General features: G+C 42.1%; 1 protein-coding gene across 11 annotated transcripts in view, besides 1 other annotated feature; it reads right to left on the bottom strand.

The window, feature by feature from the left end:
- Window positions 1-20,218, bottom strand: part of RPN2 (ribophorin II) — a 62,290-nt gene that overhangs the window by 9,818 nt on the left and 32,254 nt on the right. For all 11 annotated transcript variants that reach the window (NM_001324301.2, NM_001324305.2, XM_006723851.4 and 8 more), the window contains 5 exons: window positions 17,937-18,042; window positions 7,833-7,924; window positions 6,000-6,114; window positions 3,058-3,252; window positions 1,743-1,829 (listed from right to left, as the gene is read on the bottom strand). In NM_001324301.2, the coding sequence (NP_001311230.1) occupies window positions 1,743-1,829; window positions 3,058-3,252; window positions 6,000-6,114; window positions 7,833-7,924; window positions 17,937-18,042 (595 nt within the window). The remainder of the gene's footprint in view (window positions 1-1,742; window positions 1,830-3,057; window positions 3,253-5,999; window positions 6,115-7,832; window positions 7,925-17,936; window positions 18,043-20,218) is intronic.
- Window positions 788-1,328: an enhancer, noted in NCBI's record as "H3K27ac-H3K4me1 hESC enhancer chr20:35858877-35859417 (GRCh37/hg19 assembly coordinates)". NCBI's record gives its function as "activates a minimal SCP1, AML or CMV promoter by ChIP-STARR-seq in primed H9 embryonic stem cells {active_cell/tissue: H9 hESC(primed)}" and the evidence as "EXISTENCE:reporter gene assay evidence [ECO:0000049][PMID:30033119]".

The raw sequence follows: 20,218 nt of genomic DNA, 5'->3' as shown, positions 1-20,218 counted from the left end.
ACCCATAATTCATCCCTCTCTCCCTGAGCCATGGCTCTAAGGAAGCCCTAAACGAACTTCCCGCTCTCATTTCTTTTTCTTTTTTTTAAAGAGACAGGACCTCACTGTGTCACCCAGGTTGAAGTGCAGTAGCACCATCATAGCTTGCTGTAACCTCATACACCTGGGCTCAAAAGATCCTCCTGCCTTAGCCTCCTGAGTAGTTGGGACTACAGGTACGCGCCACCACACCCAGCTTAATTTTTAAATTCTTTGTAGAGACAGAGTCTCACTAGATCTCCAACTCCTGACCTCAAGTGATCCTCCCTCCTTGGCCCTGCAAAGCAAGATTCGCGTGAGCCACCATGCCTGGCCCAACTTTGATTTCCAGAGTTAAACCAGAAGGCTCGACAAGCATTCTGATGGTATTTCTTGGTTTTTTTTTTGTTTTTTGTTTTTTCCTGAGCAATTCTACATGAATTCTCTTTACGAAGCTCACCTAGATAGTGTGACCTAGCAGAAGCAGCAATGGTGTGGGATTCTGGAGACCTCCGTTTAGGCCCAAACTGAAACGTATGGCTGTGTGACCAGAAGGGAAGTCACTTTCCCACTCTTCACCTCACTTTCCAGCTGGAAAATTGGGGGTGGGGAGGGCCATGACCACCCTGCTAGGCTTGTAAAGATACTCTAAAGACCAAATGAAATAGTGCATTTGATTATGCTTTGTAAGCTGTAACTCATTATGCAAATAGAACTTTTTAAAAAAGATTTTTCCTCCAACGTATCAACTTGTGCCTGCCTTTTCTGCTTGTCAATGCCCAGCCAAACCAGCTCCATGATGACACAGCCCCACTTGAGCCTCCTGTTCCTAAATTTTGACCTCTGCTCTTCTTTGCTGCCGCTGCCATTAAAGGATTTCTAACACTATAGCAGCTGCTGCCACCTACTTCAGCCAGCACCCTTCATCATCACAATTACACCTACCAGTTAGCTGCATTTTACATTCTTAAATAATGCTGTATCAATATGAAAAGGAGTTTTGAAAACAATCCTACTACTCTACCCTTTGAGCACTTGTTTTTTAAAGTGGAATGACAGCAGGTAGTCTGTTTTTGACACTTCAACATTAATTCGTATGCAAGTTTCCAAGTACGATCATTTCTCAAGATTGCAAAATAGTCCACTGAGTGGATCCACCTCAGTTTCCTTAACCAGTATCCAAAGTGTTTAACAATTATTGTGTTTATTTTGGAAAGGGCTTTAGAAACATTTCAAAGCCTTTCTTCACTCATCTGTTATCAACTTTGATTCTCACAACAGTCCTGCGTGCAGGACAGGACCAGGCTTGCTTATCCAAGGACTTGCCTAAGGAAGTAGAGCCCTGTTCTCCCAGGTGAGTTTTCCCACCTGTCGCCCCATCAGCCCTGATTTACACAGGAGCAGGGAGGATAAACGCTAGAACCATCTGCGCTCATAGCTAATAAGCTGTGGTCTGAGGGTTGAACCTGCCGGATGTCAGGAAAACCAGACTCAGGTTCTGATTTCATCTTCAACTCTCTGCTTTCTGGGGGTTAGTCACCGGACTCTTTAAACCTGTTTTCTCAGTTCAAGGATGGGGCTGCCATTTACCCTGCCTAATCCACAGGGTGTGAGGATCAAACTATAAAACATCACAAAACAAGTTAAAGGGAGCAGAGCCACTGTCCAGGGCTTTGTTGCCCTCTCTTCTCCCACGTTTAGTGGATAGGCCCTTTGGGATATACCTGAATTTCCTGTTTTGGAGTGAAAAGGTTCTGGGACAAGACAGTCGAGGGAGCTTCTTCCTCAGGGAACTTGATGACCACATCAGCCTAGAAAAATAAGGACAGTCTGTAAAAGCACAGGGGCAGAGAAGTGGGTGAAACTCAATAGATAATATTCTCTGACTCACATCTAAGACCATAACTGAAAAAAGCTCCAGGCAGTCCCAATCACTTCTGATCCATTAGCTGACAAATTGAGGCAGTAAAAACTTTAAGAACAAAACAAGTATTTGCTGAAAATGCTTTTTAGAGCAAGACTTCTAATTTTCTGCTGGTATAGTAGCCCCATAGAGCTGCTTAATACAAAAATCCCAGCTGGTACACAGGCTGTTACAGTTGCAATCAGAAACAGCTTGGTGTCCCTGGGAAGTGTGATTTAGTCACATTTGAAAAAGAGAGAAAGAAATGAGTATGCGCTCTTGTACAAAAACAGCCTGAAGTCCAGGAGAAGAAAAGAAGTCTTGAATACCACACGAGAAAACGCAGCTGCCCCTTTGTCTTGCAAAGTGAGTCAACCACCATTCAAAGCCTGCAATTTGGCCTCTGCTACCTTTCCAAGCTCATCACCTCCTGCTTTTGACAGGATTCAGGTGCTCTGGCAAAACACAACCGCTCCCATTGCACTGAAAGCACCTTGAGCTCTTCTGCAAGCCCTTCCCCAATGATCACCCCACAGCCCCAGATCTGATAAACCCTTGCCATTCTTCAACCCCTTGCTCAAATGCCCTGTCTTGCAAGACGTTTACTCTCATCACGCCAATCCAAAGTGAGGCATGCAGGAAGGCACTATGTAAACAACAACATGCTACACAAATGTTGGTTATTAGTTAATTAGCATTTTGCACATTGTACAATTCACTTTTCTACATCATCCTGAATTGTTATCAGAATTCAGATCTCATCCCTCCCATGAGCTATGCCATATCTCAAAGGCCAGGGCCTTAACTTTCACATCTACGTAACCCCAATAGTGCCTGCTATAATATGAAAACGGCCTTCCTGTATAATGTTTATAGAAATTCACAGATACTAGCACTCACAAAGTTTATACTTCCTTCACTCACTTAATATTTATTAAGCACGTACCATGTTGCCAAGCCCCGTGCATGACCCCAGGACTATTTATGGAGACTGCACACAGTGCCTCACCTCCCAAGCTTATTTATAGGAGGCACAGGCAAGGCGAAGGTGAAGAGCCCCATGCCCCTGAAAAAGAGCCACCAGTGCCTGGGGCACAGCCACTCTCACCTGGGTCGGGGTACATTCAGGCACATACCACATTCCAGAGGATTGGGTTCTTCAAAGTGGCATCTCCAATGATTAAGTAGAGAGTGTAGGTGCCAGAGGCAGAGTCAAATTCAATCTTTCTTTCAGAGGTATCCAGTTCAAACTTGTACACGTTCTTGTTGTCTGGCTCGGCAACAAACACCACTTCCTGGCCAGTCTTCTGGTTATGGAGTCGGACAAATGTCTAGATGGAAGAATAATACAATCTTTCATCTGATAATTTCAAGATTCTCCCTGGGCCTAACATTGAATCCACCGGGCAGCAGACGGTTATTAGCGCTTTGTCACAGTGAGAGCTCTGGGATCTGCCAGACCTGCCCCAGAGAGTAGAAGGAGTGGCCATGCCACCCTAGTTCCCAGCTCAGAGATAACTTTTTGCTGGTACAAGGAAGGAAATTTAACTTACGGGTCCAGCCAATTCTCGACTAGTTGGAGGCTGACTGCCCAGTTTGCAGATGATTTAAGCCCTTTGCTATTGCTGCAATTTCTTTTTCCCGCCAGCCTTTTGGTCACTTTGCTGCCCAATTAACTGCTTCACCAGAGGGTGAAAAGAAAGGAAATGAGGTGGAACTGTAAGAGGCCCATTTTCAATTTCCTTGTGCCTCCAGCTAAAGATTTAGTAGAGGAGGCTTGGGTATTGATGGTAAGGCAGAGTTCTAATCAAGCAGAGCAGCCCAGTGTCATGGAGAGAGCCTCGGCTTGGAAGACAGATTTGCTTCCACTACTTATTAGCTGAGCAAGTTACTTAACTTCCTTGTGCTTTGATTTCTTCAACTTTAAGGCAGAAAAATTAACTTCCAGATGTGGCATATCTGTGTGAAGATTTGCAATACCATATGCTAAGCATTAGTGCAGGGAACGGTATATGCTAGCTAGTCAACAAATAGTAGTTAATAGCAATACGATGGTACTGAGTCTAATCACTTTATCCCCACTAATGGCACAAGAAACCAAGGTGTCTGCACATTAGAACTGGACCAAAACTTGATAACTACCCAGAGCTTTTCTTTCAGGTGTTTCAAAATAAAGAATTCAACAAGGCAGGTAGGTTTACAGATCCAATTTACAGATCACAAGGCACAAGCATTAAATGAGTTGGCAGGGTGACAGAGCCAGCACTGTATCTACAGAAAATCTACATCTCATGTGTTAATCTATACCTGAACAACAAAGAACCACCACCAAAGCATTTAGGGAAAGAGGCCCAGAGATATGAAGCATCCCAACTACAGCAATTAGTCTTGGCCAGGAATGGAATGGGGAGACCGGATGCCAGATCTCCTTCCTATCACAATCAAGTGCAGGCAGCTGCCAAGTTCATCACCAAAATGCCACCTCCACCTGGAAGGTCTCTAGGCCATGATTCTACAGCAGAATTCTGGATGAGACAAGTATTCAGTGAAAGTTACACTTCCTCACTAACTCTCCTTGCTCTAATCCTAATCCTACTAGTTTAGTCTTTTACTTTCTTCTCTTTGTACTCTTCCTTCCCTTGTGCTATTTGGTTGGCAAATGTCATTCTGGGAAGAAGCTGGGAAATGCTAAGAGGCTGAAGTACTCAAAGGTCAGTTAGGCTTGGCTAAGGGCCCTAACCAAGCTGTCTGGAGTTTGGGAGTAGGGAGGAGAGAGGAGCAGAGGACTCCCAGGACTGTGGCCATAGAGGAACGTGCTCCTGGGGCACAAGTCCAACAGCTGCAGCTGCAAGAAACAGAAAGCAAGAAGGTTCTCAAGTAAATCCAGTTGCCTCTGAGGTCTGCCCTGAAGCTGCCTCAAGGCAACAAGTCTGCTGGTCCTTGCTAAAGCATCGGTACAGGGTACCCCATACCAAACTAGGTCCCGCATTCCTGTCTTTCAGCATTCAAAGTATTTATCTGAATCTTCCTTCACGTAACACTAAAGGCAGGTTATTCTCCATCAAGGGGGATGACAGGCAGTGTGGGAGTGGGGGTATCTGAGTGGACATGGGGCCATATTAGGTTCTCAGGGGAAAGAGTATATGGTTTGAAAATCTTTTAAATAATAATTTTCATTACTCTATGAAAAAAATAAAGCCTATTGCTTTCATAATACAAAGTAAGCACAAGTTAAAAGGGCTATTCTTCAGAGTCCCACAAATACAAAATCTGCTTTGGCTAGAATAAAAAAATGCTTTGGGTCTTCTTTTGAAATTATTTCAGTATATTCCCTTATTTATTTATACATACATACATACACACAAATGAGGTCTCACCATATTGCCCAAGCTGGTCTCCAACTCCTGGGCTCAAGTGATCCTCCTACCTCTGCCTCCAAAGTGTTGGGATTACAGGCGTGAGCCACCATGCCTGGCCAGCACATTCCCTTTTTTAAATCAGAAAGAAAAAGCCTCGAGTCTAGTGCCATGCTTATAATCCCACCACTTTGGGAGGCTGAGGCAGGCGGATCACCTGAGGTCAGGAGATGAGAACAGCCTGGCCAACATGGTGAAACCCTGTCTCTGCTAAAAATACAAAAATTAGCTGGGCATGGTAATGCATGCCTGTATCCCAGCTACTTGGGAGGCTGAGGTAGGAGAATCGCTTGAACCTAGGAGGCAGAGGTTGCAGTGAGCTGAGATCACACCACTGCACTCCATCCTGGGTGACAGAGCAAGAGTCCATCTGAGGGAGGGAGGGAGGAAGGAATGACCTTAATTAAGTGCAAATCTGCCTTAAGTACCTCTCCTCAATACCAGCTAACTTTTTAGAAAGAAGGGTGTATCCCAGGTAAAGGACTACAACCAGTAGAAGGGTGAGAGTGTCATGTGGGAGAACCTGATGGACTGTCAGGGTTCGGTCAAAACCTGAAAGCAGGAACGTGGAATTCTCTCTAGTCCATGTTATAGACCACATTGTAAACTCTAGTATCCATTCACATTTCAGGTTAAGAGAACTGTCTAGGTGTCTTCCTGACCTGGTGAGGAGTGAGTTCAGCACCAGTGTTCACATCTACCAGCTGGAAGAACAAGGCGAAGTTCTGGTGGCTGTCTGCGATGAATGTGCCCTTGGCTTTGGCTGGGTATGTCACCCTGAAAGAGGCATATAGAGTTAGTCTTCAGAGAGGATCAGTATATCTCTGAGAACAGGCAGAAAATATATACTTCACTTCATTGCCTCAACCACCCTCTCCCATAGTAACACTTCTGTTGTGGACAGACAGATGTGGAGAACTGTCTGCAACCTGGGGGCAAATTGGACTGATAAAGCCTGGACTGAGAAAAGTGCAGAATAAACTTCCAGCAGGATCTGGGGAAATGCTGTGTACAGATGCTTGTACCTCTGGGCTTTCACTTCAAGGACCTAAGGCTCTCAACTCCAACAAAGTCAGGCACCAGAGGAGCTCACGTGTGGCCTCTGCAGGCACACAGGAGAGCCGGGCTGGCAGAACCGCAAGGAGAAATAATTACAGGATTGATGCCAGCAGCACACGTGAGCAAAATCGAGACAAGGCAGGTAGGAGACACAAAAGAAAGAAGGGTACTTTCAGCTTTGTCTTTTTTTAATGCTATATTTTTTTCCTGGACACTGTTTCAATTTAGTTTTCTGCCCTGAAACTGGGTTTTAAAAAGTCATTTTCCCAAAAGGCAGACTTGATGAGGAAAACTTCTTTTCACAGCTATCTCCTGGGATTTTAGGGTAAGATGGCCAGGGGATAAACCAGCCAAATGGTTACAGAGCTCAGACCTGGCTTTATTTTATACTCACATTTTACATTTACTCGTAAGTAAGACCAACTCTTCATCTAGGCAGAGAATTAAACAGCAAAGCGCTCGCACAGACATTTCTTCAGTGGATTCTTAAACAGTGCTCTTATCTCCAATATCACTACAAAAATAGCCAACCCAGAGACACAAAGGCCAACTCTATGTGATTTAAAAGGAGTAGCTGCTTGGCTTCCAGCCTCTGGCTAACATCCCATCTTCAAAGAGCCTTGATGGTTCACCCTACTGTCTTCTGGCCTCTATAGCTACCCTAGTTGAGTAAAGTTGGGGTCTGGACTATACCCCAGAAATCTAGATCCCCGCTGAGCCAATAAGGATCTGGGGGAGGGCTGATGAGCAGGCTTCTTACAGCATTCTGGCCCAACTCTGTTCAATTGTTAGTGTCTACTTAGAAGATTATGTTTCAAAAAAAGATTCTGAGGCTGTGTCTGAGTTCAGTGGGAGCAAATGTTCTATGACTTCTTAGTACTGCCTCCATGGACTTGGGAGGGGGAAATGGCAGCCCTAGTGCTGGGTATCTGCCATCTCAATTTTAAGCACGTGTGAGGCTTCCAACTAATTTCAGACCCATCATAGGCCAGAGAGACTTGCCATTAGGTCACTAAAAGCAAATTCAGGACTGTGATGATAAGGAGATCGCACCAGAATGTAAATTAATACCTTGCTTCCTTCATTGAGAAGGTCTTATTATTTTAAAAATTATCATCTGAACTAAATAATATGCTTAGTGACATAGCTGACTGACTCAGACTAACATCCTGAGGTAAGCGCTTTACCTCGTTGAGGACTGGTTAATAAATAGTTTGTGCATGGACTAAACACTGGTATATACAATCTCCAAATCCACTTAGATAATTCGCAGAATCCCCGGTGCAGGACCAGTGGAACTACAGACTCTTTAATTTAGGATGTAAGCTGGATGGCTGCTGACACAGAACTGATGCCTGCAGGGCTCAGTGCCTAGGCATACTCCTCTCAGCTCTTGAGCCTCAGCTCCCTGAGTGATCAGGTGGCATCTCACCTACCGGGTAGTTTTGGGTGCAATGCTCTGATCCTTATCCACGGTGGAAAGATCAACATTTGTGATGCCAACTTCAGTGGAGATCTTGACTCTGAGCTAGAGGAAAATAGAGAAGACAGTTGCCAGGTCAATTGGTGGGTGTTCAGGAATTCACATGCAGATATAAAGTTTTCTATTCTTTAAGGTGAGTAAAGGCATGAAAAAATCCTAGAACAAGAGTCTTCAAGGATGATAATAACACTGACCCAGCCCAGTAATATTTCCAACCTCTCCCATTCCGAGGCCTAAAATGTCTTTTTCTGGCTTTGGATGGATGGTAAACATCAAAAAAAAAAAAAGAAGAAGAAAAAGGAAAAGAAAAAAAGTAAATCTTTTCATGTGTCCTTTAAAATAAATAAGGGGAAAAATCCTTAAGCAGTACCTTTCATTCAAATCAGCAAGAATTGGGTTCTAATGATAGCTAGGATTTATTGAGTGCTTACCATGTGAAAGGCACTGGCTTTGTAAAGACTATCTCATTTAATCCTCACAATTCTGTAAGGTACTGCTTTTCAGATAAGGAAATAAAAGATGAGAGAGATGAAGCTGCTTTGCTCAAAATCAGACTGTGAGGAAGTGATCAGGCCAGTGTCAAGCTCAGGCACTCTGACTCAGAATCCATGCACTTCAGCTCCTTGTTAGACAGTCATGGTAGTTATCTGTACTGTTGCCCAAGTACTTCTCATTCTCCTTCTGAGCATGTGGTAGAATTCTACTTCCCTGCCCCCATGGAGTCAAGTGTGGCCACATGATTTGCTCTGGCCAATGAAATGTGGGCAGAAGTGAAAGCTTTAAGAATCAATGTGTGATTCTCTCTTTTCCTCTGACATGGACACAATGTCCAGATGCTTGCTCCTTCAGCCAGGGTCCTGGAGCAAAGATATCATGAAGCAGAGCCTCCAGTTGACCACCTAAAGAATCTAGCGTGGGGAAAAAATAAACCCTCATTGTTTTAAGCCACTGAGATTGGGAGTTTGTTATAAGCACAAACCAATCCATGTTGACTCTTAAAGTGTTTGAATTCTGTATGTCCCTTAAACATCTTCACAAAGAGGGGCTAATGCCAATAAATGAGAAATTTTAAAATTAGATTAAAATCAATGTAAATATCCAAAAGAGACAGAAAACATGTTAAATTTCTGAATTAAAACCCAAGTTTGAATGTGCAAATTATGCAAACCCAAGGCGCTTTTATGTGCAAACAGATCTGTAAGCCTTCCAAATATTTGATAGGTTTGAATGTAACACTTAAGGAAATCCTTGCCAAATCCACTGGTTTATAGTCTAAGTCAGGATCAAGGAATAGAGATAACGGGCTGGGCAAATAATTGAAGGATAGCTCTGGCAGTTTTCTGAAATACCATATCGAGGTGTGACAACCTCAAATCAAGGGCAAAGAAGAAAAATTAAAAATAAAGATACCTATCAAGTAATTCCTTCTAACGGCCTTCTTTCCTGCCTCTGTAATAACTATTTTATGACAACAGCCTCAATTATCATGTTGAATAGGGGTGTTGTTTTGCTTTAAAAAAAAAAACTGTAAAGGTTTATTACCAGAAGCTGTAAGGATATTACCATCTACTTTTGAATTCACAGCCACCTATGAATTCATAGCAGAACTATATTTAGGATCATTGCCTGTCATTGAGTCTAGGCAACTGGGTGAAATTATGGCAGTGGAGGAGGAGGGACGATGGCCCATCAGGTTGAATAGACACCCCCAAGAAGGGAGCTAGGAGCCTCACTTTGGCTCTTTGGGCTCTCTGCTGAGTTAACAGCGTTACAACTCACGCAAGGCTCAGAACCAGAGCAAGCTTTCTTGCAAAAAACACAACCCGACAAGTACTGACATCATTTCCACTGGAAAACAAACTGGAATGGAAGGCTCAGGCAAAGAAGTAGCCACAGAGCTTTGATTTGACACCTGCTGAGAGCACTTTCCCCATTCAGGGAATATACAGAGATGGCAAGAAATCCTTCCTGTCCCGTACACAAACCATAATTATAATAAACCAGGTTGCTGCTTTAATGGATGTACAAAGTGTTATGAAAGCACAGAAGGAACTGTGACCCAAGTCTGCCCATGGGTGGCCCCAAATGGGGAGTAGGAAACATTCCATAGCAAGAAGACTGAGGAGGAGGCTTGATGGGCTTAGCAGCCCTCCAATTTTGGGAGAGGTAGGAGGATTAGCAATAATACTCCATGCTATAAAAATAATCTGTCTTCAGAGTTAACTACTCTGCAATCTTCATCAAGATTAACTAGGTAATTCCCTATTTCTCTAACTCATTCTCTTAAGAACTCATTCATTTAATCTGTAAATGTGATCTTGAAATCATCATCCTACTGAAATGTCCATAAACAGAAGACTAGCTAAATAAAGAAAGATACATGCATATTATTAATTACTATGGAGCAATTAAAAAGAACAGACTAGGCCGGGCGTGGTGGCTCACGCCTGTAATCCCAACACTTTGGGAGGCCGAGGCAGGAGGACCATTTGAGGTCAGGAGTTTGAGACCAGCATGACCAACATGGCAAAACCCTGTCTCTACTAAAAATACAAAAAAATTAGCCAGACATGGTGATGCACGCCTGTAGTCCCAGCTACTCAGGAGGCTGAGACAGGAAAATGGCTTGAACCCAGGAGGCAGAGGTTGCAGTGAGCCAAGATCATGCCACTGCACTCCAGCCTGGGCAATAGGGCAAGGCTCCGCCTCAAAAAAAAAAAAAAAAAAGAATTGTGTAAAGTCTTCAGTGTCTCCTAATGATAGTGATAAGGAAGCTATCAGCTTTTAGGTTTTCACTTAGAATCCTGGCTGTAAACTCTCAGCACTAACTGGCCACCAAGGCCAGCTAATCAGGATCCAGCTTCGTGTGTGTTCTAAAGACATCCTGAGCATCCCCAGACAATGCAGATACATGGAGTGAGCAAAGGGCAAACTGCAGTGAACTTGCATCATTCTTGGTTTGCTCTCAGCCCCAATTTTAAAAGGTTTCCTAAGTTACAGCTTTCATTGTTGCACATAAACACCCGTAGGGCTGTTCCTAAATAGGGAACAGTTTAAAACAAATCCTTCTGCTCCTAAAATCTCACTATAAATGGGTCTCTGGAAACACTCAAAAGCAAAGCATTTTTATGCTACTCTTTTAAAGCAAATTTAGAAATAAAAATCGTAACTTTTTCCAAAGCCCTCTTTTAAAGAGTTCAGTGTAGGATCCCTGTTGATTAGCTGCTTCTTCCTTCCAACTAACAATGCAGGATTCGTTTTTATAATAGGAAAGGGACTTATTTCTCCACTTTAAATGCAGCTAAGCCTGCTTTACACTGGATCATGCTATTCCTTTCTTTGCCTGCACCACATGCCATATACATCTCAAAAAATGTTTTAACGCCAGGAAATGCAGTCTTTCTGCTGGGAGTAATAACACCCCTGTTTAGCTTATTACTGTCAAAAATGATGGTGCATTAGGGGCAATTAATGCTAATGAGAGCGTCCAAAACCGATGCTTCCCCTGACAGCCAGTCCAATGTCAATGAGGGCTATTACAGGACTTCCACACCAAACCACCGTTAATGCACTCTGACCAATGTCGAGCATTTCTTGGGAGGACAAACAGGACCCAATGACCTGCTCTGAGGCTCTAAGTGTGATTATTACTGAAATTACAAAGAAAAGTTGCATATACGGCAAAGGTCAAAGCCGACTCTCTCTCTCTCTCACACTCACACACACACACACACACACAAACACACACACCTCTAATGTAATAAGGAGGAAGAGAGAAGATTTTGTAATGCTTACTCCATCACTAGGGAGGAAAAGGAGAGTAAATGGCCTCAATGGGGGCTTATTATCATTGCATGAACAAGAGCTATTAGCCATTTCTGCTATTTTGTACTTAGATAATTTTTCCAACAATCACAGAAACACTTGGACAAACACCAGATTTGATGTTACAAAATGCCAAGCTGTTACAGTAATCAAGACAGCGTGGCACTGGCATAAGGACAATACAGATTAATGAAATAGAATTATGAGTCCAGAAATCAACCCTTACATTTATTGTCAAGTGATTCCTACAAGGATGTATGTGCCAAGGCAATTCGTTAGGGAAAGAACAGCCTTTTCAACAAATGGGTCTAGGACAACTGCAAAAGAAGACTGGACCCCCTACATCACACCATACACAAAAATTAACTCACAATGAATCAGAAACCTAAGGGTAGGAGCCAAAAGTATAAAATTCTTTTAAGAAAACATAGTAGTAAATCTTCTTAACCTTGGATTACATAATGGCATCTTAGACATGACACCTAAAGCACAAACAACAACAACAAAACATTTTAAAACTGGACTTCATCAAAATTAAGATTTTTTGTGCCTCAAAAGACAACATCATGAAAGTGAAAATACAACCTTCAGACTGTGAGAAAATATTTGCAAATCATGTATTTAATAAGGAACCTCTAACCAGAGAAACCCTTACAACTCAATAATATAAAAAGATAAATAAAAGGAAATAAGAGGTGTATAGATTGTAGAAGGAAGAAAAAAAGACCAAAAACATTTTTTTCAATGGACAATGGATTTGAATAGACATTCTTCTAAAGAAGATATGCAAGAGACCAATAAGCACATAAAGAGATACTCAACATTATTACCTATCAGAGAAATGGAAATCAAAACCATAATGAGACACCACTTTATACCCACTACGATGGCGAAAATCAAAAAGTCAGATAATAACAAGTGTTGGTGAGGATGTAGTAAAATTGGAACCCTCACACATTGCTGGTAGAAATGTAAAATGGTGCAGCTGCTTTGAAAACTTGTTAGTTTCTTGAAAAGTGAAACACCGAGTTACCATATGACGCAGGAATTCTATTCCTAAGCATATACCTGAAAGAACCAAAAACAAGTGTTCAAACAAAAAGTTATATACAAATGTTCACAGCAGCATTACTCATAAGAGCCAAAAAAGAGAAATACCTCAAATGTCATTAACTGATAAGTCGGTAAACAAAATGTGATATATCCATACAATGGAATATTATTTTGCCATAAAAAGAAATAAAGTACTAATACATGCTACAACATGGATGAACCTTAGAAGTATTATGTTAAGTGAAAAAACAAAAAAGCCAGACACAAAAGGTAACCTATTGTATGATTTCATTTACACAAAATGTCCCAAATAGGCAACCACAGAGACAGAAAGCAGAAAGTAGGAAGAGAGAATGAGGAGTGCCCACTAAAAGATATAGCATTGCTCTCCAGGGTGATAAATATATTCTGGAATGGCATTGTGGCAAGGGTTGCACAAGTCTGTGAAAATACTAAAAACACTGGATTGCATAGTTTTGTTTTTTTTGTTTTTTTTTTTAGCAGAGACGGGGTTTCCCCATGCTGACCAGGCTGGTCTCGAACTCCTGATCTCAGGCGATCCACCTACCTCGGCCTCCCAAAGTGCTGGGATTATAGGTGTGAGCCACTGCGCCCAGGCTTTTTGTTTTTTTGAGACAAGGTCTCACTCTGTTGCCCAGGCTAGAGTGCAGTAGTGTGATCATAGTTCACTGCAGCCTCAAACTCCTGGGCTCAAGGGATCCGCTTGCCTCAGCCTCTTAAGTAGCTGGGACAGGTACATGCCACCATACATGGCTAATTTATTTTTAAATTTTTGGTAGAGATGGGATCTCCCTGTGTTGCCCAAGCTTGTCTCTAACTCCTGGGCTCAAGCGATCCTCCCACCTCAGCCTCCCAAAGTTCTGGGATTACAAGCGTGGTGGCTCATGCCCAGCCTGAATTACATACTTTTAATTGGTAAACTTTATGGTATGAGAATTATACCTCAATAAAGCTGTTATTAAATCAATAAATAAAAGCTAACTCTTGGCCGGGCCTAGTGGTTCACATCTGTAATCCCAGCACTTTGGGAGGCCGAGGCGAGGCAGATCACCTGAGGGTCAGGAGTTTGAGACCAGCCTGGCCAACAAGGCAAAACCCCGTCTCTACTAAAAATACAAAAAAATTAGCCAGGCATGGTGGCGTGTACCTGTAATCTCAGCTACTCAGAAGGCTGAGGCAGGAGAATCACTTGAACCCGGGAGGTGGAGGCGGAGGTTGCAGTAAGCCAAGATCGTGCCACTGCACTCCAGCCTGGGTGACAGCAAGATTCCATCTCAAAAAAAGAAAAAAGAAAAAAAAAAGCTAAGTCTGGAAGATGAATTGCCAGAGTTCTGAAGGGCCTGCAATGTGGAAAAACATCTTTAGACCACTCTATCCTTTTCTTCCTCTAAGTAATGTTAAATGGAAACCAAGCACTGAAAAAATAAGATTTAGGCCGGGCATGGTGGCTCACGCCTGTAATCCCAGCATTTTGGGAGGCCGAGGCAGGCGGATCACAAGGTCAAGAGATCAAGACCATCCTGGCCAACATAGTGAAACCCCGTCTCTACTAAATATACAAAAATTAGCTGGGCATGGTGGCGCGTGCCTGTAGCCCCAGCTACTCGGGAGGCTGAGGCAGGAAAATCACTTGAACCCAGGAGGCGGAGGTTCCAGTGAGCCGGGATTGCGCCACTGCATTCCAGCCTGGTGACAGAGCGAGACTCTGTTTCAAAAAAAAAAGAATAATAATAATAATAATAATAATAATATTTAGTTTTCACCCATAGGAGTTCTCAGCCCAGTGAAAAAGCAATGCAGGTGGTGGTTCACGCCTATAATCCCACTACTTTGGGAGGCAAAGGTGGGCAGATCGCTTGAGCCCAGGAGTTCGAGAGCAGCCTGGGCAACATGGCAAAACCCAGTCTCTAGAAAAAAATACAAAAATTAGCTGGGCATGGTGGTGCATGCCTGTAGTCCCAGCTACCTGAGAGGTTGAGGTGGGAGGATCACCTGAGCCCAGAAGGTCAAGGCTGTAGTGAGCCATGATCACGCCACTGCACTCCAGCCTGGGTGGTAGAATGAGACCTTGTCTCAAAAAAAAAGAAAGAAAAAGAAAAAGAAAAAGCAATGCATATAAACAAACAATGGTAATATAATGCAATAAGTACAATTATAGAAAAGGGTGTAAAATACTACAGCAACAAAAATGAACTTCAGATAGACCGAAGCCTTAAATATAAGGGGGAAAACAACTTTAAAAATGTTCAAAAGACACTGGAGGGCCAGGTGCAGTGGCTCACGACTGTAATCCCAACACGTCGGTGGGCCAAAGCAGGCGGATCATTTGAGGCCAAAAGTTGGAGACCAGCCTGGCTAATATAGCAAAACCCTGTATCTACTAAAAATGCAAAAATTAGCCAGGTGTGGTGGCATGCACCTGTAGTCCCAGCTACTCGGGAGGCTGAGGCAGGAGAATCGCTTGAACCCCGGAGGCAGAGGCTGCAGTGAGCCAAGATGGCACCACTATACTCCAGCCTGAGTGACAGAGCGAGACTCTGTCTCAAAAACAAAAATAAAAATAAAAAAAGAAAACATTGGAGAATATCTTTTTGACTTTGGGGTAGCACAGGATTGTTTTAAAGAAGATATAAAAAACACAGTCTAGCAAAAAAACTTGTATTTTATTTATTTATTTATTTTTTTGAGACAGAGTCTGGCTCCATTGCCCAGGCTGGAGTGCGGTGGCACGATCTCAGCTCACTGCAACCTCCACCTCCCAGGTTCAAGCGATTCTCCTGCTTCAGCCTCCCGAGTAGCTGGGATTACAGGCACGTGCCACCACGCCTGGCTACTTTTTGTGTTTTTAGTAGAGATGGGGTTTCATCATGTTGGCCAGGCTAGTATTGAACTCCTGACCTCAGGTGATCCGCCTGCCTTGGCCTCCCAAAGTGCTGGGATTACAGGTGTGAGCCACCTCACCTGGCCCTAGGAAAAGACATTTAAATTAGGCTTCATTAAAATTAAATTTTGTGCTTCAAGAGATGCCATAAAGCAATTCTAGGGGAAGATATCTGATGCTCACAACTAAACATATATCACTCCTAAAAATCAGTAATAAGACTAACAAACCAAAAGAAAACCAGGCAAAGATATAAAACAATTCACTGGAAAGGAAATGTAATTGGCTAATAAATATATAAAAAGATGTTTAACTTTACCAGTAACCAAGGAAAGACATTAAAACAAGATACCTTTTCATATGCATCAGATTACTAAAACCTAAAAATACCAAATATTGGTACGAATATGGAGAATAGAGCAATTTGGTGACTGTAACAGCAAAAGACTCATGGAAAAGACAATCAGAGGTGGAATCAATAGGACTTGGTAACTGACTAGAAGGTAGAAGTGAAAAGAAAGGAAGGGGTTAAGAACTGTGAGGTATAAGCCTGGCATTTAAGATGGACTCGAAGTACAGGGAAGAAGAGGTTTCAAGAAAAAAAAAGAAAAGAAAAAAAGAACTTTCCTTTTAATATGTTCAGTTGCAAATAAGTCCTCTTAACATAGGAAACTAACATTATAAGAATGTGGATTTGAAAGGATCAAGGCATACGCTACAATAGCTTCTATCCATAGTGAACGAACTAAGATCAGATGTCTCATGCTAAAAAGGTCAACACATGAGGTGAAGAGATTCGAGTTCCAGAAAACATCTTCCTTTCTGCCAAACTTTAAATGCAAGTGTTGAATCTACCTATGGGAAGTAATGCCGCATTTTTGAAAAGGTCAAACTTTCTAGCTATTAATTCTGTCATTAAAAGAAAGCAAGTGTCACAGGAGCCAATTTGAGGAGCTCTCCAAAGGCCAAACCTAGGATAAAATGAGCAACAAGATAAATGAGTCATGGACCACAATGTATATAGTAAAATAAATGTCCATGATGCAATTATTGTAAACATATGAATTATAGAAAATATATTACATTATAAACATGTTATGATAAAGAATTATGATAGTTATAAATAAAATGGTATAAAACACAGTTATTTTCTTACAGCAGAATTCCAATTTTTAAAATGTAGAAGGAATGAAAGAGAAAATCACCCTTTGGCAAACACCACAGTAATAACTATTACAGACAACATCATTAGGATACTTACAGAGTCTCAAAGTACCACCCCACAAGACACTTAAATACAAGCAGAAAAACAGCAACTTTACAGCAGAGAAACCTAGCACACAATCACCTTACTCAAGTGATCAAGGTTAACATGACCTGTAATAAGACATATCGACATCATATACTTCTTGTTCTGAGTAGGGCAGAGCATTACTTTTGGGATAGAACTGCGGAAAATGCATGACCTGAACCTGATCATGAAGAAACATCAGACAAACACAAACGGAGAGACATTCTACAGATTGAGAGCCCATCCTCTTCAAGTGTCAAGGTCATGAAAGACAAAGAAACCATCTTAAATTGGAAGTAAGAAAGTAGGAAAATGTGTCACTCATCTTAAATAAACTTCTATCTAAAAAGATTACAATGAAAGCCACCATGCCAGATGGGGTAAATTTCAATTAGCTGGGAAAAATACTAAGGTGAACTACCTCTTTCCCACAAAGCATCAGGTAAATAAGGCTTTCTATCCTTAAAGCTACTTCGATCTTCAACCCAGCTAGAGTTAGCTAAACATCAACAAAGTTCATTATGAAAGATTACTGATTTTCTTTTATCCTTTACCCAAATAGCTTCATTATAGTGTTACGTATGTGTCACTTGGTGCTTTTTGTCACCTATTTGGCATCAAGCACTTTTCTAAACCCACCAAAGCCTATCACACAAAACACTTTAAGAGTTTAAGGCTCAGTGGAATTATGGGTGATTTTTATTTTTTCTACTAACTAAATTTCATGTAAGACAGTAATGCTAAATTATAATGGAAAATGAAAAACTTACAAATAAAAGAAAATTCACTATGACCAAGTTCTTGATTTACTGCCTTAGCTACTAAGTCTGTCAAACAGCAAAGACTGAATGCAGCCCTCCCTCCACATAAACACATTAGCTTGGTTGTAGAGAAAAGTCAATGCACCAGACAATTAATACTGTGTCAATTTGGCCATATCCTTGGATATACTAACATGGCAATGGGAAGGAAAGAAAAACACCTACCTCTACGGTATTTGCAATATACCGGTTGTCACCTTCAACTTCGACAAGGAAGTCATAATAACCACTGGAAAATTTGACGTTCATGAAATTTAGTTCAAAAACATCCCTGTTAAGAATGACAATGGGCTTAGCAAGAACTCAGGTAGGAAAGTCATGGATATAACAAACAGGAGCTACAAAATGTCTCCTGGAGACTGTCCAAGGCTAGCCAACTCCTTACCTTTTTGACTTCCCACCCCACTTGGGCAATCTCGTGCTTCTTATTTTTTTTTTATTTTGAGACAGGTTCTCACTGTCACCCAGGCTGGAGTATAGTGGCACGATCACAGCTCACCACAGTCTCAAAACTCGTAGGCTCAACTGATCCTCCCACCTCAGCCTCCCTGGTAGTTGGGACAGCAGGCATGCACCATCACGTCCAGATAATTTTGCAGTTTTTTGTAGAGACAGGGTCCTGAGATCAAGTGATCCACCTGCCTCAGCCTCCCAAAGTGCAGGCTGGGGCATGAGTCACCATGCCTGACCCTCGTGCTTAATCACAGATTGGCATGTGGAGAAAAGTATCTAAGATGAACACCCCTAGGTTTCCAACGTTTTCTTTTCCTTTGTTACTCCCACCACTCCTAAAATTCAAACTCCTGGTAGCTTTCCACAGTGTAATGTAAAATTGAGAAGTTTACAATGTGATCCCACATATGTTTCACAATGACAACAAAAATGTAGAGGAAAATACTCCAAAATGTACAAAGAGGTTGGTGTACGATAGTATAATTGTGGCTAATTTTTTGGTATGATTTCTACCTTTCCGTGTTTTGTGAATTTCTCAAAAAGGACATATCTTACTTTTATTAAAAATATTTATTTTTATTTTAAAGGGAAAAAAAGGTAGAGAATTCCTTACTCTAACTATATAGTAAAATCTCAATGTCTTTTACCACTCCATTGACACGCCTAAAAATGATTTTGCTTTTTAATTTCACATATTGCCTATGTATCCTTATGATTAAGAAACGCATTTTCTCTCTAAAATTGAAAACTCCTGATCTCAATAACTTATTACCTAATTTAACACTTCAAAAAGTTCCATATAAGGCCAGTGGCTCACACCTGTAATCCTGGCCCTTTCGGAGGCCAAGGCAGGCGGGTCACTTTAGGTCAGGAGTTCGAAACCAGCCTGGCCAACATGGTGAAACCCCATTCCTACTAAAAATACAAAAAAAATTAGCTGGGCATGGTGGCGGGTGCCTGTAATCCCAGCTACTTAGGAAGCTGAGGCAGAATTCCTTGTACCTGGGAAGCAGAAGTTGCAGTGAACCAAGATCACGCCACTGCATTCCAGCCCAGGCAACAGAGCGAAACTGTCTCAAAAAAAAAAAAAAATTCTATACAATTAGCTGGGAAAAACACTAATTCATATAAAAATTGACCCTTAATTTTTTTCTTTTAGAAACAGGTCTTACTATGTTGCCCAGACTGGTCTTAAGCTCCTCGGTTCAAATGATCTTCCTGCCTCAACCTCCAAGTAGCTGGACTACAGGTACCTGCTACTGTGCCCAGCTTGACCCTTAGTTTTTTGTTTTTGTTTTTGAGACAGAGTCTCCCTCTGTCACCCAGGCTGGAGTGATATGGTATGATCATGGCTCACTACAGCCTAGACCTCCCAGCCTCAAGCGATCCTCCCACCTCAGCCTCCCAAGTAGCTGGAACTATAGGCAAGCCACACACCCAGTAAACTGGGCCTTAGTTTTTAAAAAATTACATAGCAATAATATGCAGCCATTAAAAATCATTGTAAAGGCCAGGCATGGTGACTTACAACTGTAATCCCAGCACTTTGGAGGCTGAGGTGGGAGGATCACCTGAGGTCACACGCCTATAATCCCAGCCACTCGGAGGCTGAGGCAGTTCAAGACCAGCCTGGCCAACATGGTAAAACCCCATCTCTACCGAAAATACGAAAATTAGCCGGGCATGGTGGCAGGTGCCTGTAATCCCAGCTACTTAGGAGGCTGGGGCAGAAGAATCATTTGAAGCTGGGAGGTGGAGATTGCAATGAGCAGACATCACGCCACTACACTGCACTCCAGCCTGGGCAACAAGAGTAAAACTCCATCTCAAAAAAGAAAAAAAAAAATTGTAAAAGAATATTTAATCCTATAAAAAAAAGTTTGTGGCACATTGTTACATATAAAGCATACCCTGATTTTTTTTTTTTTTTTTAATAGAGATGGAGCCTCGCTCTGTCGCCCAGGCTGGAGTGCAATGGCGCGTTCTCAGCTCAC

Source organism: Homo sapiens, chromosome 20 (assembly GCF_000001405.40).
Source record: "Homo sapiens chromosome 20, GRCh38.p14 Primary Assembly".
NCBI classification, from domain to species: domain Eukaryota; kingdom Metazoa; phylum Chordata; class Mammalia; order Primates; family Hominidae; genus Homo; species Homo sapiens.
The sequence above is the reverse complement of the archived record's forward strand: the minus strand, read 5'-3'. Positions and strand labels throughout refer to the sequence as shown.